The sequence below is a fragment of the Homo sapiens genome, chromosome 7, assembly GCF_000001405.40.
Source record: "Homo sapiens chromosome 7, GRCh38.p14 Primary Assembly".
Classification (NCBI taxonomy): Eukaryota; Metazoa; Chordata; class Mammalia; order Primates; family Hominidae; genus Homo; species Homo sapiens.
In genome coordinates this window covers 117,010,595-117,035,633 of record NC_000007.14, presented here as the reverse complement: position 1 = coordinate 117,035,633, position 25,039 = coordinate 117,010,595, and the positions used below count along the sequence as shown (strand labels likewise).

Here is a 25,039-nt window from a genome sequence, read left to right as displayed (position 1 = left end):
TTATTAAAAATGAAAAAGCCTTAAAAAAAACTTTAATCAAATTGCTGTGATGAGAAAGGTTCTGACAGCTATGAAATTGACTCAGTTAAAATTTCTACTATATATGCGTGTTTTACTTTAAGCAAATTAGATGTACCAAATAGAATTTGAATTTGCAGATGAATTATTTGCTTTTGAAAGAAGTCTGCCACCCCTCAAAAAAATTAAAAATAGAAAATGTTTCTTCCATTCATTTGAAACAGTCTACTGACAAAAGAAATCAATGCACAATTTCAGGAAACAAAGGCGAGCCATATTCTGCATCCCTGAATTATTGTTCCAGCCTGACACCACACACAGCTGGTGTTACTCAGACTCCACTTCCTCAACAAGAGAGGCTGGAAAAGGTCAATTTAATATTAAAAACAAACAGACTATAGTCAGGTGTGCAGCTGGTAATTCCAGAGCATATGAAGACCCAAGCACTCAGGGACCTGTGTATTTTATATCTTTAAAAAAAAAAAAAAAAAAAAAACTGCCCAGCTTGCCAGTCCTCTGCATGGAATTAAATGTAAACATGGTCTTGGCCTCATGAAAGTCTGAAGGAAAATTATTCATGTTGCGACACCACAGTAAAAGTTTTTCATTCTAAGCATAAGTCTTGGAGGGTAGCAATGCTGTTTCCGGATCACCCTTACACAACTAAACAAAACATCTTGGATGCATGTTAGTATAAATCCTAAAAGAAACAAACCAGAAAGTAAACTCTTAGGTGTATTATTTCCCTTCTTACATAGTGATAACTCTGTCCATCCCAATTAAAAGTCAAAAAGGGTTTATGAAATTCCTCAGCGAAGAAAATTCCACTTAATCCATCTAAATGGAGGTCAAATAATGCAAAGCATGCTATGACATCTATATCAAAATATCATAAAGCTTTTTAAAAAAAGAACTTATATGCATGACTTTAAGTAAATCTAACAAAGCTACAGACATATAAATTAGATAAACCAATGAGTGATTATTAGTATTTAGAGTCTCCTTAAATATTAAGTTAAAATATGATACCATTACAAGGGTATAAATTCCATTCACATTTCAGACATTTTCATGAATAAAGAAAAGGTATTGACCTTATTGTGTTTAATAAGCAAGATACTCTGAGAGATGAGACTAAATATTAGGTGAGGTGAGCATAAAACCTAGAACCACTGATGTTCTGTCTTTAAATAACTTTTAACCCCTCCCACATCATAGATTTTCATACAGCAAATGTTTAAATGGGCATATTGAATGCAATTGGAAGGATAAGCAATAACATAAATGACTAATATAATAATACCTAATAACAGTAGGTAGCATTCATTGAGCCTTTACTAGGCAACAAATATTTTAAGGCATTTAAAACTCACAGCAGGCCAGGCACAGTGGCTCACACCTGTAATCTCAGCACTTTGGGAGGCCGAGGCAGGAGGATTGCTTGAGCCCAGGAGTTCAAGACCAGCCTGGGCAATAGAGCAAGACTGCCTCTACAAAAAATAAAATATTAGCAGGGCATAGTGGTGTGCACCTGTGGTCCTATCTACTTGAGATGCTGAGGTAGGAGGATCACCAAGAGCCCAGAGGTTGAGGCTGCAATGAGCTGTGATTGTGTCACTGCTCTCAAGCCTGGGTGCAGAGTGAGGCCCTGTCTCTAAACAAAAAAAGGAAGAAGAACAACAACAATAAAAACGACCTCATAGCAGCTCCATGACACAGTATAAGCCTACTTTACAGGGTAAGAAACTGAAGCCAGAGAAGTTAATCTACTCAAGGTCGTGCAGCTAGTAGAATGAGCATTTCAGTCTATTGACTGACTCCAGAGCATGTAAACCAGAAGAGATGCTCCCTCCATTATAAAGTACAACAGAACATTAAAAAATACAGGATGAGGCTCGGCGTGCTGGCTCACGCCTGTAATCCCAGCACTTTGGAAGCCTGAGGCAGGTGGATCAACTGAGGTCAAAGGTTCGAGACCAGACTGGCCAACACAGTAAAACCCAGTCTCTACTAAAAATACAAAAATTAGCTGGGCATGGTGGCGGGCACCTGTAATCCTAGCTATTTAGGAGGCTGAGGCAGGAGAATCACCTGAACCCAGGAGGCAGAGGTTGCAGTGAGCCAAGATTGCACTACGACACTCCAGCCTGGGCAACAGAGCAAGGCTCTGTCTCCAAAAAGAAAAAAAAAAAAAAGCATGTATACAAACAGTAATACAAATCAATATAAAGCAGACATGCATGAATTATAATTTCATTCATCTCATCCCCTTAGAATGTAAACTGCCAGACGACAGGAACCAAACTTAATAAGTTTTTCCATTTAAAACAATTTTTTCTCATTATTTGCCATTTGTACATTCAATGCTGCCATTTCTATTCTAGCTTGTACTTTATTTTATATCAAATATATACACAGCATGTTGATGCTGCTATGTAATGTGTTCCTGGTATGGAAATCTTCAAAAATAATTAACCTATCAATTGCTTATCATGTGCCATTAAAGGCTTGCCATTTTACTTATTTCATTTAAGCATTACAACAATCCCATGAGGTTAATATTATCCCCATTTTACAGATGAACAAACTGAAGCTAACAGATAAGATGCCCAAAGCAACATAGTAAAACTAGACCCCCTTATCTGCCTGACCCAAAGCCCAGGTTCTTAAGCACTGCGTTATATATTTACAATAAAAATAACTAACAGAGTAGGCCTGCCTGGAACTAACTTAGAAAAAGGGTGAGAAAGTCAGCATAGATGAATCTATAATCCACTAAGTATATTCACCCTTGCAGCTTTCAAAAGACTACACTAATTAACTAGAGATTGTTGGAGGATTACTGCTTTATAAGCTGCCTAAAACAAAGGTGGATGAATATGTTTATAGATTCATATCTATTATGCACATACATAACATGCTGTTTCAGGTCAATTCAATCTCTATCAAACATGGCTTCAAGTTTAAGGACTTTGAAAATTACTGCAAGTAATGCCAAATAATTAGAAAAAGTTCTTAAAAAATAAATTTAAATTCAATTTAATTTTTAAAGGTGACAAATGTCATCCTGAATCTGTTTTTAGAGAAAAGTCTGGTTTCAGATCTCTTGATCATAAGGATCCATAGATTTATTAGAGTCTCAAAAAGGTCGATAACTCAACAGGACTACAGAACCAGCTTAATAAAAAAGGGGATCCTGTTTTTGAATATAAAAACTCATAAATTCAGACCTTTCTAATTAAAGAAATGTGAATATTTGGCAAGAACTGGAGTAAAATATATATAAATATAATAAAGTGATTTCCTAAGATACGACAAACAAGAGAAAGAACAAATGTTCTAAGGGCCATAAAAGTAGCATTTACATAAACATAATTTTTAAATGTTCTAAGTACAAAACCATTCTTTTTTTAATTTTAAAAATATTTTAACTAGGCCAGGCGTGGTGGCTCATTCGTGTAATCCCAGCACTTTGGGAGGCCGAGGAGGGCAGATCACTTGAGGTCAGGAATTCGAGACCAGCCTGGTCAACATGGCTAAACCTCATCTCTACTAAAAATACAAAAATTAGCCACACGTGGTGGCATTTGCCTGTAATCCCAGCTACTCAGGAGGCTGAGGCAGGAGAATTGCTTGAACCTGGGAAGCAGAAGTTGCAGTGAGCCAAAATCACACCACTGCACTCCAGCCTGGGTGACAAAGCAAGACTCCATTGCCAAAAAAAAAAAAAAAATATATATATATAGATAGATAGATAGATATAGATATAGATATAGATATAGATATAGATATAGATATATGCATATATATACACACATATATGCATATATATACACATATATGCATATATATACACATATATGCATATATATACACATATATGCATATATATGCATATATATGCATATATACACATATATACATATGTGTGTATATACATATATATGCACATATACACACATATATACATATATATGCACATATACACACATATATGCATATATATGCACATATACACACATATATGCATATATATGCACATATACACACATATATGCATATATATGCACATATACACACATATATGCATATATATGCACATATACACACATATATGCATATATATGCACATATACACACATATATGCATATATATGCACATATACACACATATATGCATATATATGCACATATACACACATATATGCGTATATATGCACATATATACACATATATACACACATATACACACACACACACATTTATTTTAGGTTCAGGGGTACATGTGCAGTTTTGTTATATAGGTAAACTCGTGACTCAGGGGTTTGATGTACAGATTATTTTGTCACCTCAGTAATAAGCGCAGTACCCAAAAGTTTTTTGTGGGTTTTTTTTTTCTGAACCTCTCCCTCCTCCCACCCTCCTCCTTCAAGTAGGCCCCAGTGTTTGTTATTACCCAATTTCTGTCCATGTGTTCTCATTATTTACGTCCCACTTAAAAGTGATAACATGCAGTATTTGGTTTTCTTTTCCTGTGTTAGTTTGCTAAGGATAATGGCCTCCAGTTCCATCCATGTTCCTGAAAAGGACATGATCTTGTTCTTTTTTATGGCTGTATAGTATTCCATGGTGTATATGTACCACATTTTCTTTATCCAGTCTACCTCTGATGCACATTTAGGTTGATTCCATGTCTTTGATATTATGAATAGTACTGCAGTGAACATATGCATGCATGTGTCTTTATGGTAGAATTACTTGTATTCCTTTGAGTATATATCCAGTAGTGGGGTTGCTGGGTTGAATGTTAATCCTGTTTTTGGTTCTTCGAGGAGTTGCCACACTGCTTTCCACAATGGCTGAACTAATTTACACTTCCACCAGCAGTGTATAAGCGTTCCCTTTTCTCTGCAACCTCACCAGCATCTGTTATTTTTGACTTTTTAATAATGGCCATTCTGACTGGTATGAGATGGTATGTCATTGTGGCTTTGATTGGCATTTCTCTAATGATTAGTGATATTGACCATTTTTTCATATGCTTGTTGGCTGCATGTATGTCTTCTTTTGAAAAGTGTCTGTTCATGTCCTTTGCCCACTTCTCAATGGGGTTGTTTTTTGCCTGTATGTATAAACAATTCTAATCTATTTGTTAAGACATACCCTCAAAAGACTTCTTCATGACAACATCTGTTTAGTGAAATCTCACTTTCCAGGTTATTTAAGATTTTTACAAGTGCAAATAATTCCTCCAAATTCAAATTAATGATGCTTTACTAATACCACCACTTTTACATTTACTATATGTTCCCTAGAAACATATATTCAGTGGGTAATATAAGTCATTCCACTCCAAATAAGTATTCTTCTATCAATGAAAAATAACCTATTCTTTTAATTTTATAACTGGTTTCACCATTGTGAGAGAAATTAAAGACCTAAATTAAATGACAAATATACCATGTTCATGAATTGCAAAACTTAATATTGTTAAAATGTCAAACCTCCCCAAGTTACTTTATAGATTAAATATACTCTCAATCAAAATCCCAGGTCTTTTTTTAGAAATTGACAAGCAAATTTAAAAATGCATAGGGATATGAAAGGATCAAATATAGCCAAAAGAATTTTGAAAAAGAACAGACTTGGAGGGCTTACACTACCTGATCATAAAGCTATACAGTAATAACAATTATAGTATTGGCCTAAGGATAAATATACAGATCCCTAGAATAAAATAGACTAGAAATATAGGGTGAACTGACTTCTGATAAAGTTGCCAATTCCATGGAGAAATGACAGTCTTTTCAAGAAATGGTGCTAGAAGAAGTGAATATTCATTTCACTAAAAAAAAAAAATGAACATTTACCATTACCTCATATTACAAACAAAAATGTACTAAAGATGGATCATAGCACACATAGAAGCAAAACACATAAAACATCTGGAAGAAAATACAGGAGAAAAATATTCGTGACAATAACATAAGCAAAATATTTTTACATAGGACAGAAGAAATTGATAAACTGGACTTCATCAAAATTAAAAACTTAACATTATTAAGAAAATAAAAAGGAAAGCTACAGACTATAAGAAAATATTGTCAATACATACACCTGACAAAAGATTTGTATCAAAATATATGAAGAACCTTCAAAACTCGGTAATAAGAAGACAACCTCATTTTTAAAACAGGCAAAGGATTTGAACAAACACAACGAAAGAAGATACACAAATGGCCAAAAAGAACATGAAAAATTGTTTAATATGATAAGAATGAAAGACATGCAAATTAAAATCACAATATACCATTACACACCCACAAAATTGGCAAAAATTAAAAAGACTGACAATACTAAATGTTGGCAAGAATTTGAAGCAAGTGAACTCCCATCCATTGCTAGTGGGAATGTAAAACGGTATAACCACTTTGGAAAATGGTTTGGCAGTTTCTCAACAATGGCATGCCTAGGTATTTACCTAAGAGAAATGAAAACATATGTCCACATAAAGAAATATACACAAATATTTATATATGCAGCATATATATTTATAGCTATATATTTAACATACAAAATATGTGTTAATTATCCATGTTATCGGTAAGATTTACAGTCAAGAGTAGGCTATTAGTAGTTACGTTTTTAGTGGTAAAAGGTCATGTGGATTTTCAACTGTGCAGGGATCAGAGCCTCTAACCCCTAAGTTGTTCCAGGGTCAACTGTATAGGCATTCCTGCCCACAACCCCAGCTGAGCCCTAAGTCAACAGCTAACCTCAACTGATAGTATATGCCAGAGCTATCCTGGAGATCTAGTTCAGGTGAGCCTTTAGATGACTACAGCACTGACAGAAATCTAACTGCAAGAGACCCTTCATGAGAACCACCAATGGAGTCCAGTCAACCCACAGAACTGTGAAAGATAATAATACATAATTGTTTTAAACCAGTATGTTTTGAGGTAGTTTGTTGTGTAGCAATGGGTAACTGAAACATCATTATACCAACACAAGACCTAGGAAAGTTTCAGATGAGAAATTCAGACTTCTGAGACAAGTCCGGGCTTGGACCATCCATGCGTACCACCAGGCCAGACCCTACCAAAGCCTCCCCCTGAAAACTAGGTGTTCTAGAAGAAGCCAGAGGTGGAGGAGGTAGTAAAGAATACCCCAATGGAGTCACTGTGATTTCCTAATCTATACGCTTTACAATCGGGCTTGCTACTGCCCAAAATATGCCAAAAGCCTCAATCTTAACAGTCTGAAATGCTCACAAAAAAAAGTAAAATAATTTTTCTAGTTCCTGAAATTATATCAGTATTGCAAGCAAACAATTCTCAATTTTCATGCTGTACATAAACTGATGATTATTAGTAACTCATTATTTTTACTTAACCTTTAAGAATGGTAAGCAAACTTAGATTAGACATAGTCAACTTACCAGTACATGGCAAATTATCAGTATATGGTAGTTTACCCACTAACAAATTTGGGCTTAGTAATAAAAGTCCATATGCTATTATTTTGTTTGGGTCATTTGTTCCTGCTCTGAAGGATGACAAGAGCTGATTACTGGCATGTTTCTGACATGTACCCATTATGTGTGATAAACTCCTTGGCCTAGAAAATTTTATTAAACTCAATATTAACACCCTACAAGCCCACACATCATATTTTCAATGATATTACCTTACTCCACAGCAGATTCAAATTTTAAAGAACATGAGCACTTGATATATGCTAGGTACCCTGCTACACTCTGGGGATTTATTGTCAACTGATAGGAATTTCATTCAGAAGAGCCCAGTGGTGGCTCTGAATCATTAACACATTGACATTACTGAGAACCATAATGTGACACAGACTGGTGTGTTTATTTTATATCATTCATTCATTTTAGAGACAGGGTCTTGCTTTGTTACCGAGGCTTGTCTTCAACTCCTGGGCTCAAACAATCCTCATGCCTCGGCCTCCCAAAGTGCTGAGATTACAGGTATGGGCCACCATGTCCCGCCCAGAGTCTAAAGAGAGACATTTCTGGAACACTTAAGATTCTTAACTTTATTTTATTTATATTTTATTTTTTTTTACTTTACTCTTTACTTTTTACTTTACTTACTTTACTTTACTTTACTTTACTTTACTTTACTTTTACTTTACTTTACTTTTCACTTTTGAGACGGAGTCTCACTCTGTTGCCCAGGCTGGAGTGCAGTGGTGTGATCTTGGCTCATCACAACTTCTGCCTCCTGGGTTCAAGCGATTCTCCTTCCTCAGCCTCCTCAGTGCTGGGACTACAGGCATGCGCCACCATGCCCGGCTAATTTTTGTATTTCAGTAGAGACAGGGTTTCACCATGTTGGCCAGGCTGGTCTCAAACTCTTGACCTTGTGATCCACCTGCCTTGGCCTCCCAAAGTGCTGGGATTACAGGCGTGAGCCACTGTGCCCAGCCCTTTATTCTTAATTTGGTAAGTATTTGTATGTTTATTTAAATATTTATGTGTCTATTACTCATACTTACATGGAAAACATTTGCACTGATGAAGTGTTCTGAGTGGACAACATTCCAACCTTTAGTGGCTGATGCTAATCCTGCAAGAGTGTCATGACCAATCAATGATGCTTGCCACAGGGCATCTGGCATTTGCCAACCCTGACCCATTTCACATTTCATTAGTTTCATACAGTCTCCTCCCCTCAAACCTCCTATTGGGTCCCTTAAAATATTCCCATCATACAACTTCCAGTCTTCACCCAGCCTTAAGAAGTGACATCTCTCTTCAGCCAGTATTTTCCACTGCTGGACTCTCTCTCCACAAACACCCCTTGATAAGCCCTACCCTGGCAGATATCCAGGCCCCCAAAGGCCAGTTCCCCTAACACAGAGAGTTCATTGGATAAGTCACACTGTAAGCTTAGATGGTAGATGGTTAAACCCTGGTAGTACACGGTAGAGCCATGATATGAATCCAAGCAAGTGAAAGCCAGAGTCTCTGCAATTAGTTGCTGCATCTGGCATGTGGTTGCTGCCATTTCTAAACATGCATTAAATTGCATATTCATTTTTTTGCTCATAAGTATCTGAATTAATTACTAATACAAATAAAATATATTGAAAATCTTATTATTTACTATTCTAGCACAGTAAATGGGACCTTTTAAATAATATAGCATTTGTGCATTTTCTTGTTAAAAACATTAATAATTATGTTAACTCATGCTTTATATTGACTAGGAAAAAATGGAAGGATATCAATACTCTTCAAAAAGGAATAAAAAATGACTATACAATTTATAGTCTATAAATGACTATACAATTTGTAATGTCCATATAGTCTCATATTGAAAATTTAACAGTATTTGAACATAAATTAATGCAGTGACTATTATTAATGTTTAAAAAATACACATGATCAATGACTTTTCCAGCTCAGAATCCATAACAACAATGAATCCTATTCACATCCTGTGTAACTCCAAGGGGATGCTATGGGGAAAGTTTCCATATATGGTAATTTTCCCCATAGACTCCCCACAGTTTATACAGGATATGAATCTGGTCCATTGTGACAATGAAAACAACAAATCACTGAAGACTCACATGTAATTTTTTTTCTGAACAAACTACAGACTAACAAATAGACCAATACTGAAGGGAAAATAAGAAATCTGAGGATTTAAAAATAACCATTGCATATTTTTACTCCATTTCTGTACTAGTATATAAATATGCAGAAGAAAAAAATTTCCTTATTTACTTTAAAATATTATCTTGATACTAAAAATTACAATGTCAACTACTAACAGCCAAGGAACTCAAACGGAAATTTCACATCAGAATGTGTGTTATCAGAAAAAAAGAAAAAGTGATATGGTAAGATGAGTCAAATACATTACATGAGTTTTACTTTTTCAAGCTCCTGTATGACTATGTTCCAGTATAATGCCTATAATCCATAATTATTTTTCCATGTTTGTGACTTCAGCAGTCTGTGGTTTTCTACTTATCTAATGTCATGCAATATTTTTCTTTTACATTCAATGCTCTAAGTGCAGACTTAGAGGTGGGTTTTTGTGCACATACTTAAGTATTTCTATTTTTGTTTTAAGATGAAAGCATCTAAAATCCGATGCAGCTAAATCTAATAACCAGATTAATGTTATTAATGGGAAAGGAAAATGGCTCATGTTCCTAAATTACCTAGTTTCATATGACAAATAATAATAAAAAGGAAAACCAAATAGAGTACTAAAATGCCAAACATACTAACAGCAAAAACAGCAGTCTCTGACACAATGATTTAGTAATAATTAGATGCTTATTTTGAGAAATGGTCCAGATGTGAACAGCCATTTTTGAATGACCATAGTTACTATTCAAATCTCAGCCAATTCACAGAAATCACACACCAAAACAACAGGCCCAAGTTTAATCTCACATGTGACCAGTTACCAACAATGGCCTGAGATGCACATAAAAGACTACAACTCACTTTTTTTTTATCAAAGAGATGTCTGTTTAACTACAGTATCTTGATGACTTAATATTGCTAGAGTATTATTCATTTGACTACCTCTCACACAATGGCTCAAAATTTCAGAAAATTATCTAGTTCTTGGTAACATGGTACCATACTCCCTATTAAAACTGAGAAGCTGTCAGTTTCAACTTAATGCACTCATCAGTAATGAAAACCAAAAGCAGCAACTGAACTTTTGATGCCCATCAAAGACAAATCACATGGGGTATCAAACTGTATCCCAAATTATTGCCAGCATCTGGCTGCCTACCCCAGGTGATGTAGCTATCCAGGGAATGGCAGGGAGTATGTGTGGACCAGCCACACCAGAGCTAAAGAGGACTCCTGATCCCCTGACACAGCCATCCACTAGTTTCTCATCTCCACTAAGCTCAGGTTGGGGGATCCTACTAAAGCTTTGTTGGTTCTCTGGTGATTTATTTTCCCCCTCCACAGATGCTCTAGATGTTCTTTTTAATTATTATAACTATACAAAAAATTTTGGAAGAAGGATAAAATAATGCTATTTGCCCCAGGGACACTCTGTTTCTCAGCAGGTAAGGTGTTGCTCTCTTCACTGAACTAATAAGGTAGGTGCTTTGGAAGATGCATTAACGTGTTAGACCAGGGCACAATTCCCACCACAGTACTTCTTAAGTGGTACCCTTGAGAATTGAAAAAGCAAAACATGGGAGAGGAGACAAGAGGAGGACTGAGCCCAATAAATGCTAATTAAATAATTCATCATACTTAAAGTATCTACTCTTTGAAGAATAACTGGCTTTATCAAGGAGGATGTAACCAGATGTCAGCAGTGCAAAATCAGTTTTCCTCAAAACCATTTACTCCACAAAAAGAAAGGATGAAATTTTTTCTCCCTTTCTCCCTAAAAATATTTTCTCCTCTTATAAAATTTTAAGAGAAAAATTGTTTAATTTTGAAGAATTTAATCAATTTATTTTAAAATATATCATTAAATCAGCCAGGTGTGGTGGCTTACACCTATAATCCCAGCACTTTGGGAGGTTGAGGCGGGAGGATCACCTGCAGTCAAGGGTTCAGGACCAGCCTGGCCAACATGGTGAAACTGCATCTCTACTGAACAAAAATACAAAAATTAGCTGGGTGTCATGGCACATGCCTGTAGTCCCAGCTACTCGGGAGGCTGAGGCAGGAAAATCACTTGAACCCAGGAGGCAGAGGTTGCAGTGAGCCAAGATTGTGCCACTGCACTCCAGCCTGGGCCACAGAGCAACAGGGTGAGACTCCGTCACACACACACACACACGCACACACACGATATATATATATATATAATCAAATTAAGAACTCCAAATATACATTTTAATTATCACCTTCCTCAACAAAACTTGATAGTACTTTCTTCTTACACCTAAAGTATTCTGACCACAGAAACTAAAACTGTATATCTTCAAAGCAGTTAAAGAGCAGACACGCTACTCCCATTTTTAGACATGGGAAACTTTAGTAAAGGAAAAGCTCAGTGAAATACATCAAGATGGTAATAAACGGAGTTACAGAAGCTATACTTCCTGCTTTGTGATGATTAGTCTACACATACTATAGAACACCCATTTCAAAGTGAGCCCAAAATAGACTGACTGTGGCCAATCTGCACAACTGTGGGAGATTCAGATTCACTAAGTCAAAGAGATGAGACTAGTATCATTGGAGATATTGATGAAAGCAGTGTCAGGCATAAAAGAGCATTTATTAATTCTATTGCCATAGCTGTGTAAGTCTTTAACTTTGAAGAACTAGCGTTTACTCTTCCACATAATTTTTTTGGTATTTTAAAGGCTTTTTTTGTCTGTTTTTTTTGGTGAGGAAGGGTGCAAGTATTTAAAACAATATTATTTCAGTAAGACAGAATGTATTATAATGTGATATCCAGGCTACTGCAAATTTCTGACCTCAAAGGTCTGAAACATAAAATCAACTTAATCAATACAATATTTGAAAATGAAGACATTTCCTTCTCTTACAGGCAAAGAGCAAGGGGGAGATAAAGAAAGTTTAAAAGAGCCACTTACAACATGAATCTATGGCATCAGAAGTCAGAATAGTGGTTACCTTTTCATGAAGAGGGGAAATAATATTGACTGGGAAAGGCCACAAGAGAACTTCCAGGGGAAATGGAAATGTTCTGTATTTTGAGCTGAGTAGAGTTCTATGGGTATAAACATGGGCAAAAATTCACTGAGCTGCACACCTAGACTTAAGCATTTTACTGCATGTAAATCATACCTCAATTTAAAAAGTAAAAGCATCCTATACAAGTAAGGCACTGCAACCATAATCAAGGGTAAGAATCACGAAATCAGAATAAGTTAGAAAAAAATTAACCCTTACCAGGATCTACCACAGTACTGTATACAGAATAGATAGTTAAACAAGTATTTCTTACGATAATTTAGTAAGAACACCCTAGATGGTTTGGGAGATCCCTTTTGAACTAATTGGAATTTCAAATGTGACTATTTTCCTGAATATTTTAAGTACAGTTTCAAACCTAAAAAATAGCCTCCAAAAGGTTGACATCAAAGGCCAAGAAAGCTATGTCTCAGAACACAAAGAAAATACACTTGTCCTAACACTGAATGCAGACTTAGGGAATCTTCTTTTATTATTATTATTATACTTTAAGTTCTGGGGTACATGTGCAGAATGTGCAGGTTTGTTACATAGGTATACACGTGCCAAAGAAGGCAATTCATTTTCAACACGATATCCACTGACAGTACGAATCTACCTATAAGCAAGAAACAGAGCTTAACACTCACGAAAGACAAAAAATGCTAAAAACCTGTATGATAGTATTCTGTCTTCTGAAGGATATTCTATTCTCTTCAGTAATTTAGCAGCTATGGAGGGCACAAGCAACCAGCAGTTTTCACACATACCATACAGCGCATAGGTGATATTATCAAAAGATCAGGTTTGATGATCAGGAAAGGCTATGTGTCTGCTTGGTAACACTGAGCAGACAATGTTAGAGTCCCTAGTCCAAGAACCAAAGACTTCTGCACTGAGTTTTAACTTCCATTTTTGGCTAAACCAAGTAACAGGTCTAATTTTCCTTTAGTATATAATTATTTCTGTCCATACCTAGGCTCCTGCATAAACAAAATTCCATGACTGAAATGAAACTGGATGGTCTTTGACACTTAGTGATTTATTTCTATTTCTTAGATAACCAATTCTAAATGTACCATTAAGTGAATTAAAAAATTATGCCTAAATTATTAGGAAATAATACTGTCACATGCTGAATGGGACATTACCTGTCACTATTATTCTAACACAACTTTGATTAGGCAATGTGGTAGTCTGAGATGAGAAGCTTCTACAGTGAAACAAAAGTAATTAACCTTTTTAAAAAGCCAATCAAGAAACAAAAGAACTGAGGATTATTAGCTCTCTCGAAATGCTACTATTCTGTAATAATCAGCTATGCACAAACAGTCACACTGATCACCTGAGATCAAAAAACAAAGGTCAAATTACAAGTTCGTAAGAAATCAGTTTCCTAAATTCCTCCCCTAAACCCCTTCTCCCTAGCAAAGATAGTGGCTTGCCAATATTTAATGCTCTAGCCAGCAGGTTGAAAGTCTCTTTAGAAATTCTTATCTCTTAGAAATTCTTAACTGTCATTTTTGCTAATAGACAATGACAAAATATTCTGCAGAGCCTGTACAACTGCATTGACGTTATATTTCTATATCAACATTAAATAATCCTCACATAGTTTGGTTGTAATTTTTAAAATATCCATTGTAGCTGTCTACAACTGCTGTCCTGCCTAGCCCATTGTGCAGGGCCTTCTCTGCACCAAAGCAATTTCATTGTATAAGTTTTTAAAAAGATATGATCCTGCTGGACTGTGATGCTAGCCAGCATATCAAAATTGAAGCCACTGTGGGAAAAAAAAAAATCCATCCTCAAAAATAAAGCGATTTCTTACTCATTCTGAATCTACCTATAATGTCTATGTTTTTGTGAAAATATGGAAGAGTATATAATGATAACTATTTATCTCTTTAGATGAAAAAATGTAAGCCTTTCTTTCCTTTCTAATAAACACTATCATCTCAGATCCTCCCAGTATCTATTTTAAGGTTTAAGCACCATTACGGAGCCTACAACAATAGATCAGTGACAGGCCTGATCCCATCAATTAACACATTCTAGGGTGGCTGTATGGATTCTGGTTTTCCTACCTCCCTCTTACAGGCCTGGTTTTGACACATTGACATCCCTGGCCTTAAGGATGAATAACCCAGTTAAGGGGAGTTCCTTCCCTGAGACCAATTCCTTTGTAATTAGAGCCAAAATACAAAGGTTGTTAATGACCTAAGGCAAAGTGATATGAACTCTAAGCCAATGAAACCATGACAGCAAGCAGATTTCTAAATAGCAGAGAAGTGGGATCCATTTACTTACATGAAGATTCAGTGCCAAACATGGCTGGCTCCAGAGGCTGCTTTTTAAAAATTAGAAGAAAGAAAAGGGAAAAAAAAAAGAAAGAAAAGCGAGGAGAGTGTACATGTGAGAGTGAAGAGATGAGCCGGCTACACAGCAGGGGTCATGAAGCCAGACAATGCAGTCCAAGCTGTGTCCAGCTGCCAGATTCTCCTGTTACGAGCTTCAGTTTTCTCCCGGTGTGATTGAAATGCAAGGTCTCTTAACAGCACCAAAAACCGAAGAGCTGCTTTTGAAAATCCACTAGGCAAATGAAGGCCGACGTGCCTCTTCTGGGATGCGGTGAGGCTGGACTAGGTAGCAGCAGGGGCAGGACTGGGAGCAGCAGCAACAGCGGATACTGCAATCCCCAGCCCTGCTGTAGCAGTAAGACAATAGCAGGGCTTATGCATACGCTGGATGACGTCAGGGACACTGCACAGACCGACTGCGCTGCTTGAGCCAGAGGCTCCAGGGGCTCCAGGAGAGCAGCGTGATTGAAAGGGGAATTCCTTTGTCACAAAATGCACAAGACCGAGAGCCACGTATACACTCCCCTCCTGCGCAGCTCTTCATCCCATGATACCAGGCAGTAAAAGAGGACTCAAAGAAATTTAAATATTGGCTTTATAGCAATTAACCACAAAGACATCATGCATATCAGTCTTCTTGGTTTTGCGCAGCATATAGAAAGAACTTTTCAAGGGAATTAAGAATATCAGAAATGAGAAACATTATCTGTCTTTAGAAGTAATTACAGAAGAGTTCATTGTTATCTTCTCAAAGCTTATGGTAGATTGACAGATCAAGGATTGTACACTCAATCACAAGTATGTGAAAATATGTATACTATTACACATATATTCTAGGCACATAAATACATACAAATGTAACAGTAAAATAGTAATCTTAAGTACTTAGAACACTGCTTGGCACACAGTGAGTACTCAAATGCAGGCAATTCCATTACTAGCTATTTTGCAACTATTGTTCAAATGTGAAAAACGCTGCTCTAGGAATATATTTACATACATGTATTTCTCCTATTTCTTCATCGTGCCTTACATGAATTTCTGTCATTTTCCAGAGCAACTCAGTCATTTTAAGGCTGTGTGCACACACCTGTGTATACCTCTGTATGAGTAAGCATTTGTGACCAACCCATTTCTTTTTGATCTACCCACACAAAGAAATAATTGAAAATATTTTATCTCTTGACTCACTGGAACAAAAAATGTCTTCCTGTGTTACCATATTCTTATAAATCTGTTTTTAAAGAAAAAGTACTAGAAGCATATGAACTTTCATTAGCTATCCAACACAAGCCAAAAAAAGAGTTTTGTTATGTTTTTAAAATACTGAAATGCACAAAAAGTAAATATATATACATATATACGTAACTTTTAAAATCATATATAGTAGAAAGTTCAATAGTTCAAGTCTCCTCTCCACCCATTCATCCAAGGTATATGCCTTTTCTAATTAATTTCTTGTGTTCACAAAGACATGTCTTGATCTCAATACAGTTTTTAAATATTAAATTCTGCTATGAAAGTGGAACCACATATTACTTTAACATCTAAAAATATCATTAGTACTTTTTCTGGTCAGTATATGTAGGATCTACCTCATCCTTTTAAAGACTGCATAAGATTCCACTGTATGAATGTACCACAGTTTATTCAGGGTAACTTGATCTTTAGCTTACTAAAAATGCTGAGCCATTAAGAAGAACATTTGATGATGCTAAATAAGATAAAGAACAAATCATCTGTTGCGGGAAAGAATAACAATAGCTAATATTTACTGAGTGTTTACTATGTGCCAGGCACTATCCTGGGTCCTTTACATGTATAAACCCATTTAATCTTCATAATAACCCTACAAGGTATATACCACTTTTATCCACATTTGACAGATGGTTAAATACTTTGTCGAGGTCACACAGGTGGTGAATGATATACTGGGCTTCAAACTCAGGAGTCTGGATCCAAAGCAATGCTCTTAAGCACACTACGATAATGCCTCTTTCTTGAACAATGAATAAATAATCAGCAAAATTATATTTAAGGATTTAACTGAAATGAAGGGAAAATAGAAACCAACTCAAAACATGAAGAAAAAAAATCGTTAAAAGAGAAAGGTCATCAGAGAAAGAAAAAAAATCACAGAAAATTGCAGGAATTAATAAAAATGTATACCTTCAAAAACAGTCACATCGACAACCAAGGGGGAATATCAATAATGATGTTGAAATGTAACTGTAGGAAGTGGGAAAGGATAATACAGTTCAAAAGGGTGGAACCTTAAAGCCAGAATATTATCTTACATAAGATCTATTTTAAATTGCATATGAGATGTTGTCACATAAATAGTCACTCAAATAGTGGATGGATGTGGCCGTCAGAAAGGCAAGAGGGAAAAGAGAATGAGAAAATGGCCCCTGGGTTAGAGATATTTTCAAACAGAGGCCATGGTCTACATGTAATAACTGCTTTGCCGACTCATTTATGTTGCTCCTTTTGTTGGCTCATACATGAGAGGGTGTGTATATGTGTATGAAAATGCATTTTTCTGAGGGCCTATATTTACTTCTTGGCACAGGCTTCTAAGAGTTAAAGGCTGTGATTTTTTTAAGTCTACTTTTTAGACAACTGTAACAGGATCAGTATGCTAAAAACATCAGGCATCTCACTTGCCAGGAAAACCGGACACAAATCACACCCTCTGACTCCTATGAAGATTTCTGTTATGTGGAGGCCTGAGGCATTTCTAACCACTTTAGAACGTTTGGATCCACATTGTTGAAGACCCATCTTTGACCAAAATGATTCCAAAAGTTTAGTTCATTCCAGTTCTCTCCTCTAGTCAGCTCAGAGAAGGAACACAAAGTTTAATATGTTGTCTAAAGAAAATGTAATGAAGAAAAATGAAGGATGAATAAAACTGATCTGATATCCCTTACTAACCCCCCTCCAAAAAAAAAGTCATATAATACAATCCAAACCCAAAGTGATCTTTGGCTTAACCACTCTGTCTGAATACCCCTGCCTGCAACCTTGCCCTTCCTTCACAGTAAAGACAGTGCTGTTAATTTCTAGATAAAGTTAGCAACGAAAGGAAGGAAAACATTCAAAGTAGTTTAGTGGTCAAAATAATAATCATTAAATGAGAATGCTATTGACAAAGAACAATTATAGCGAAAATCTTAAAGTCAGTCAACAGTCACTTTTAAAGGAAAGCCTATCAAGCATTCACTCAACAACTATTTTCTGGGAGCTTACTGTTCTACACTCTAGGCATCAGCCATGAACAGAGTCCCTCCCCTATGAAGCTTGTATCTTAGTGAGTGAGACAGAGAAACAAACACGTGACGTGTCAAGTGATGGTATATGTGATGAACAAAGATAAAGAGGAATTAGAGGATAAGGAGTAATTGCATGAGAAGGTTATTTTAGGTAAAATTATCAGGAAAGGCCACTCTAAAAAGGTGACATTTCAACAAGACCTGAAAAAACCACATGGTTAGCCTGAAAACCACGTGGAAGGAAGAGTGTTTCATGCAAAGGCCTTAATAGAAGTGTTTTGGGCCCCTTAAATTATTTTAATAATAAATCTGTTCTTGAATCATCAAATATCAGTTTTGAAAGATATCCCCTTCAGTGCTATAATGATGCCATTAGTACAAAAGTGATTGTGCTGAAAGCAAAATAAATGCTCTTTTCTAATACAAAAAAATCACTCTGCCATGAACTGAAAACATGAGTTGTTCTCTTCAAAGTTTAATAGATTAAATATAGCTATCTTTGCAATGAATGTGTAAATGTTTATAAAAATCACTATGAAAGACAACATTCAAAAGGGCTTCTCACCACATCAGACAGGTAATTTAATTAATGTATTTATTAATGTGGTAAGAACTTAAACCATATTTTTTTCTCTACAGCACACACAACTAAATTTGAAAGTGTCATGTGAATTTCCTTAAAGTCACCTCCTTTGTTCACACTAAAGTTCTTAGTTTCTTAGGATTCTCTTGATGTCTATTTAGAATGTTAAGGCTGTACATCTTAAACTATCAATTATACATATATAAAGTATTACTTAAGAACAACAAATGTTTTAATGGCAATATACAAACTATAGAAAATGAAAGAATTCTTCAATGATGGTGTTCTTTGTGGGAGGAGGTACAAATTTATAACTAAAAGCATACTCATAGTAAAGCTCTGTGGTAGGATTTTACAAATTTGATTTCTCTGCATATGGCTAAAATGTGTTCCTTCCTGCTTCAATGTAGTACCACACATAAAGCGAACCTTCTAAAAAGGTGGGTGCATTTTATTTCAGAGCCCTGGAACAAAAATTCTGGCATGCTAATCTTATGAGGAAAAGAAAATCAAAATGCACACACAAGACACAGATACAGGTATACTTGCTTTAAAGAAACCCTAACATAGAATACTAAAGATTTATAAAACAAATCTTTTGGGGCAATTAATTGCTTTAAAATGTTTTATCTTCAAAAAGTATCTACCACAGAAGTCCTTTAAATAGCAAGCTCCTAAAAGCTATATTTTAAATGAGCAATTTCACAAAACTTTTATTTGCACACTGTAATTAACTGTCTTGCCAAAGATCCACCTACAGTTATAATTTATAGATACTGTGTAAGTAGAGTTCAATCCGGATGCACACTGGAATTTATATTACACTGGGTATGAAAAGTGGCCTCTCTCTGCCCTAGAAAAAAAATTTTCCAATTCTTCGTTCTTTAGTTTAAAAGCAATCTGTCAGCAAACAATGTCGCCATTCCCCAAAAGTTCAAATTTAGGGCAATATAATTCTGAATTGGGTGCACAAATTTTGGGCAAAGACTCATGTCCCTACCTGATCACTGCTTCACCTCCCACCCACACCTTTACCCTACCAGATGTAAGGGAATCGCCCACTTACTCATCAAGTAACCACCACCCATGGTTAATCTAACCTTATTTCTAAACATGTACCAATTTACCATTCAGTGAAACTAGAGATTGAGAAACAAGTCTATGCAATTTAAAAAAGGAAAAGGTTAGAAAGGTCAGAAAAGGTCAGAAAAATCTGGGCACATTTATACTCAGAAAATTTAGGATAAAAACTGAAATTCTCCAATTCACTTCATTACATTAACACCATCTAAAAGAGCAATACACAAGCACAAAACCACCACCACAATAACAGAAACTCTCTGTAGACTGTGTACATATTTTATTCCCTGTGTGGAATAATCTGAACTCAGATGTTTGTACTTTAAATCCTCTGGCCTAAGAGGGGAGAAATGTGGATTAACTATGGGTTGGAGTTTAAGTCCATTTAAGTATGATCCAACTGAAATGGAAGAAACAACAAAGGTATGTCTCAGAAATTCCCTTAAGCACTTATCCTAAATTAATCACAATTTGGATAAAACAAATTCATACAATACTCAGGAATAAACTGATGCACAATATTTTTAAAGTACTCACACAATCAATGTAGTTTTTAAAATATAAATTCAAAATATTATTTTTAAAGTAATTCTACATAACTGGAAAATATTTAACATTTAATTTTACCTGTATAATCCATAATGAAGCAGTAAGCAGGAAACTGAGTATTTTCCAAGTACAACTCTATCAGCCAGAAAATGAAACGGCTCCCTGGACTGACGAACCGTTCTGGGGAAGCCTCCTGCCATGTGACATGAAGCACACCCACACTTCTGCTTATCTCTCTCAAGCGGCAACGGCTGGGCTCTGCTCTCCTTTGCCTGGTCTTTTAAAGTCGTCCTTAGAAATGTCTCTCAGAAAATAACTGTTATTTACTCCCATTTCCCTCCTGTATTAATTATTAGGTTAAAACTAAATTTTGGTTTTAGGTTAAAACTCTAAATAAGAGAAAAAATAAATTATTTTATTCCTGTAAGTGAAAAGGACACAAGATATCCATACTTCTTCCTAGTACTCAATGATATGAAAGAAGCCACATAACCTGAAAGGAATCAGCGTCCAAATTTTTGTCTCAATTTTGTCATTACATTCATTCATTTGATAGTACATATGCATATTTTATCCATTTGTCCATTTGAAATACATTTGACTAATGTGAAAACAAACCTAATAAAGGTGATGCAAGAACAGTCCTTTATAGCATATCTAAGACCTCCAACTCATTTATCCAAGTCCTAAAATAGACATCAGCTGGAAAGGACATATGGTCATTACTGAGACACACTATATCTGATGTAATCTTTAATGTCACATTGCCACATACCCTGAGCCATCTTTTTCCTCCATTGCCAATCTTGAGCATATCCTAGCTTATACTTTAAATAAACTTTAACAATGGCTACTTCATCTTGATACAATTATTTACCTTGCCAAAAGACGAAACATAAATAAATTTTTACTTTTTTTATCTTTTTTTGTAAGCAACCTGAATGGTTGGACAATTTCCAACCCCCACCCTCCACCACTACCAAATTACCACCACTTTGAAGAAGATGAGGTACTAACTGTTTAGAATGCTTTTGCTGGAGTAGTGGGGTGTTTGGTTTTGCTTTTGCTACTTTCCTTTCCACTGAACAGGTTTCTCCAAAAGAAATTATAAAGTTGACAATGCTATAAAATGTGATTTTGAATTTTCAATACAATATCAAAAGTGCGTAATACAAATTCTACAAATTCTAGGATTACTATTATCACTTAACAGATCTCTCCAATAATTTTATTTACTTATTTACTTATTTTTATTTATTTTTGGCGGAGTCTCACTCTGTCGCTCAGGCTGGAGTGCAGTGGCGTGATCTCGCCTCACTGCAGCCTCTGCCTCCTGGGTTCAAGCAATTCTCCTGCCTCAGCCTCCTGAATAGAGTAGCTGGGACTACAGGCATGCAACATCACACCCAGCTAATTTTTGTATTTTTAGTAGAAATGGGGTTTCGCCACATTGGCTAGGCTGATCTCGAACTCCTAACCTTAGGTTATCCGCCCGCCTCAGCCTCTCAAAGTGTTGGGATTACAGGCGTGAGCCACCTCGCCCAGCCATCTCCAATAATTTTATAAAATAAATAAGAAAGTACCATTTCACTCAGTCGTCTAATCAGTGCTTCCTTACCATAAGCAGAGCTCATTATACCACCAATCTGCTACAGTCAAAAGCTGTTAATTCTCATCAACTTCACCTGTCACTGTTGCTAAGTGAGCCTATCTCATTTATTAGGCCTTAATTCTCTTTATCTTAACCTAGGGTACAGATTGGGAAGCCTTCCACAAGTTGTAACAATTTGATATAATTTCTTCCTGATAATTAAGATGTGCAAATGGTTAGAACATTAATGTTATGATTGTTTTAAAATAGTAAGCTCAAAATGCCTGATAATAACTACCTACATTTACACAAAACTTACAAGTGTGTGGAAACGCTGACTGCCATTATCAAATATCACCTGGAATAACATTTTATGCTTTTCACAATTTAGTAGTTAGCATGGATTTTTAAAGCACTTATCTAATTATCTGAGTAGCATTATTTTAAGACTTTTTATTTTTATGCTGTGTATTTTATAATTCTTAAGAGACAGATATTTTAAGGAAATGCATTTTATTAATGGAATGAAAACATAATGAAATATCTAAATTAGAAAGTATAAGACCGATGGACAGATGAGTAGATAGATATAAAACCTACAACCTACTTATAGTTAAGTGATTTGCCATACCTCAGAAATCCAGCAGAGGGGTTAAAAGCCAGGCTTAGCAAACAGAAAAGCCAAGTTTAGTCAGAGAAGATTCAACTCCCATCTCAGCCACTTACTACATAGATTATCCTAATTAAGCAAGTTTTTAAACCTCTCTGAGCCTTGGTTTACTTACATACTAGATAGATTATCTTAATTAAGCAAGTTTTTAAACCTCTCTGAGCCTTGGTTTACTTACTTACTAGATAGATTATCTTCATTAAGCAAGTTTTTAAACCTCTCTGAGCCTTGGTTTACTTATAAATTGACAAAAGGCCTAGATCAATGCTTGGAATGTATTAACAGCTAATATGTAAATAGCACTTTGTGTGTACCAGGCATTGTTCTAATTCATGTATTAACCTATTTAACCCTTAAAACGACCCTAGGAGGTATTATCCCCATTTTAGAGATGAAGAACTGAGGCATGGAGGATAAACAACTTATCTAAGATCAGAGCCAGGATTCAACTGGAGTAGCCTCTAGCTCAGAATCCTTGTGCTTAACCAGTACACAATACTGCCTGTGTAGAGTAGGTGATCATACGGAAGCCAAAAAAAAAAAAAAAATTTCAAAAAACTAGGTTCTTTCCAATAAAACCAAATCTACAGTGGGCCAAACAGTTCAGTTCCGAATTCATAAAAATTCTTTCTATATTCTATGATCAATTCCAACATATGAAAAAATTGAACAGAGAATCAGAATGAAAGGGATAATGTTTAGTCATTGTGATAGCTTAAAATGAGAGTGGCATTAGCCAGTAAAGCAGAAATAAGTACTCAAGTGCAGAAAGCTACAACCATAAAAGGACCTGTCCTACCCAAGGCACACTCAGTAACCACTAAATCCCACTCTACTTTTCAGTTCTCCAAATGTCACAGTAGATACTACTTGCCTAGACTCTATAAACACTGACTATAAATTCAAAGCTCAACAGGAGAGCCTTCAACTAGATCCCTCCACCCACCTCTCAAAGAATTTTCTCTATCTCCATCTCACTCTCAGCAAGTGAGACTTGCTGATATGCCTAGATGCCCCCTTCCCAAACAATCACATCATAGTCCTCTCCAAAACGTATAACGTTCACCTAAGTCAGAAGTTCTTCTCGGGTCACCTGTTCTAGGGACCACTATCCTAACCACAATTTCCTGAGACAGCAGTGGGTTGTACTTATAGCATTTGGCACCCCTGAATCCCATCCCAGAGTCCTGCTACAATTTAACCCTTCGTGATCCAGGTTGGAGAAAGAATCATTACTGAATCAAGAGACCTGGAGTCTAGCCAACACGGCCACTCATTACCTCTCTGATCTAAGATAAATTCTAGAACCCCTGTATGTATCTGTTCCTTCACTGGTAAAATGAGGAGGTGGAACTGGAAAATCCCTAAGATCTAGTCCAACTTTAATAATCTTGGACTCTACTTTAAACCAATTACAGTCAGAGGAGAAAACTCAAGTAACTCCTGCTGATACCTACTCCTTTTCTAGCCCCCACTGTCCCCTCTTCTATCCTGCCAGGGCTTTGGGAACAGCCCCTCCTCAAAGGAGCCAGGATGTATTGTCCTAATTCAGCGTGTTTATGTTGGATGCTGATGTTCTGGGGAGCCTCCTCCTGTTTACAGGGACACTGTTCCTTTCTAGGCAGACCCCCAGTAACTCAGCCTGGTGGTAAGTAGACAGATACACACACACACATTAACACACACACACACACACAAAATACTTAAACTGTTGGAGGATCTGCCTACTAGAGGGTTCATGGCTCATGACCTGGTGGGTCACACCTCTTAGGACAATGTGGCCTGGGTGCCAGCAATAAAGCTTCTGAAGGAGACCATTCTTCCAGGACTTGATTGAGACAGCTGGACACAGAGTGTGAAGCTTTTCATAGAGGACAGCTCAGGGGCTGAGACATAGCTCTCCTCTCTTTCTCTTTCATGGCTTCCCTCCCTGGACTAGTGCCTGCCACGCGAGTCCACGGTCCTCTACCCTCCTCAGAGGAGAACGAGCATGGCTTCCACTTCACTCTTCCCTCTTAAATCAGAAAATCACAGCTTTATCATAATATCTTACATCGCATTTCCAAATTATACAATAACCGACTTTGTTATTACACATGTTTTAAAATACCAGGGTTGGATTATAAATGTTCACTCTATTTTTCTGCATTTCAGAAATGAAAATAGGGGGTTTTCCCTCTAGTCTCAATTCTCACCAACATGTGAGAGCTAAGTCAAAATGCCTTAAGGTTATGTCA

At 36.2% G+C, this 25,039-nt stretch overlaps 1 protein-coding gene and 1 non-coding gene across 18 annotated transcripts in view, besides 4 other annotated features; both read right to left on the bottom strand.

The window, feature by feature from the left end:
• Positions 1 to 25,039, bottom strand: part of ST7 (suppression of tumorigenicity 7) — a 276,676-nt gene that overhangs the window by 194,543 nt on the left and 57,094 nt on the right. For 5 of the 17 annotated variants that reach the window (NR_161418.1, NR_161419.1, NM_001369606.1 and 2 more), the window contains exon 1: positions 15,005 to 15,416. The exons of 10 other annotated variants lie outside the window; for them this stretch is intronic. Coding sequence is in view for 4 of the 7 variants with exons in the window: in NM_001369599.1 (NP_001356528.1) it covers positions 15,005 to 15,026 (22 nt within the window). In the remaining 3 variants the exon portion in view is untranslated. Of the gene's footprint in view, positions 1 to 15,004; positions 15,417 to 20,619; positions 20,723 to 25,039 lie in introns of those variants that run through there. 2 more of the 17 variants (NM_001369602.1, NM_001369603.1) reach the window with 1 other exon arrangement.
• Positions 10,865 to 10,954: an enhancer, noted in NCBI's record as "active region_26541". NCBI's record gives its function as "activates an Ori minimal core promoter by ATAC-STARR-seq in GM12878 lymphoblastoid cells {active_cell/tissue: GM12878}" and the evidence as "EXISTENCE:reporter gene assay evidence [ECO:0000049][PMID:35858748]".
• Positions 15,185 to 16,384: an enhancer, noted in NCBI's record as "MED14-independent group 3 enhancer chr7:116659304-116660503 (GRCh37/hg19 assembly coordinates)". NCBI's record gives its function as "activates an origin of replication core promoter dependent on BRD2, BRD4, P300/CBP and CDK7 cofactors, and independent of MED14, by STARR-seq in HCT116 cells {active_cell/tissue: HCT116}" and the evidence as "EXISTENCE:reporter gene assay evidence [ECO:0000049][PMID:35650434]".
• On the bottom strand, positions 15,315 to 15,423 carry MIR6132 (microRNA 6132). Its single transcript, NR_106748.1, has one exon. It is a non-coding gene; the product is annotated as a microRNA 6132 (primary transcript).
• Positions 23,509 to 23,558: a silencer, noted in NCBI's record as "silent region_18569". NCBI's record gives its function as "represses an Ori minimal core promoter by ATAC-STARR-seq in GM12878 lymphoblastoid cells {active_cell/tissue: GM12878}" and the evidence as "EXISTENCE:reporter gene assay evidence [ECO:0000049][PMID:35858748]".
• Positions 24,549 to 24,628: an enhancer, noted in NCBI's record as "active region_26540". NCBI's record gives its function as "activates an Ori minimal core promoter by ATAC-STARR-seq in GM12878 lymphoblastoid cells {active_cell/tissue: GM12878}" and the evidence as "EXISTENCE:reporter gene assay evidence [ECO:0000049][PMID:35858748]".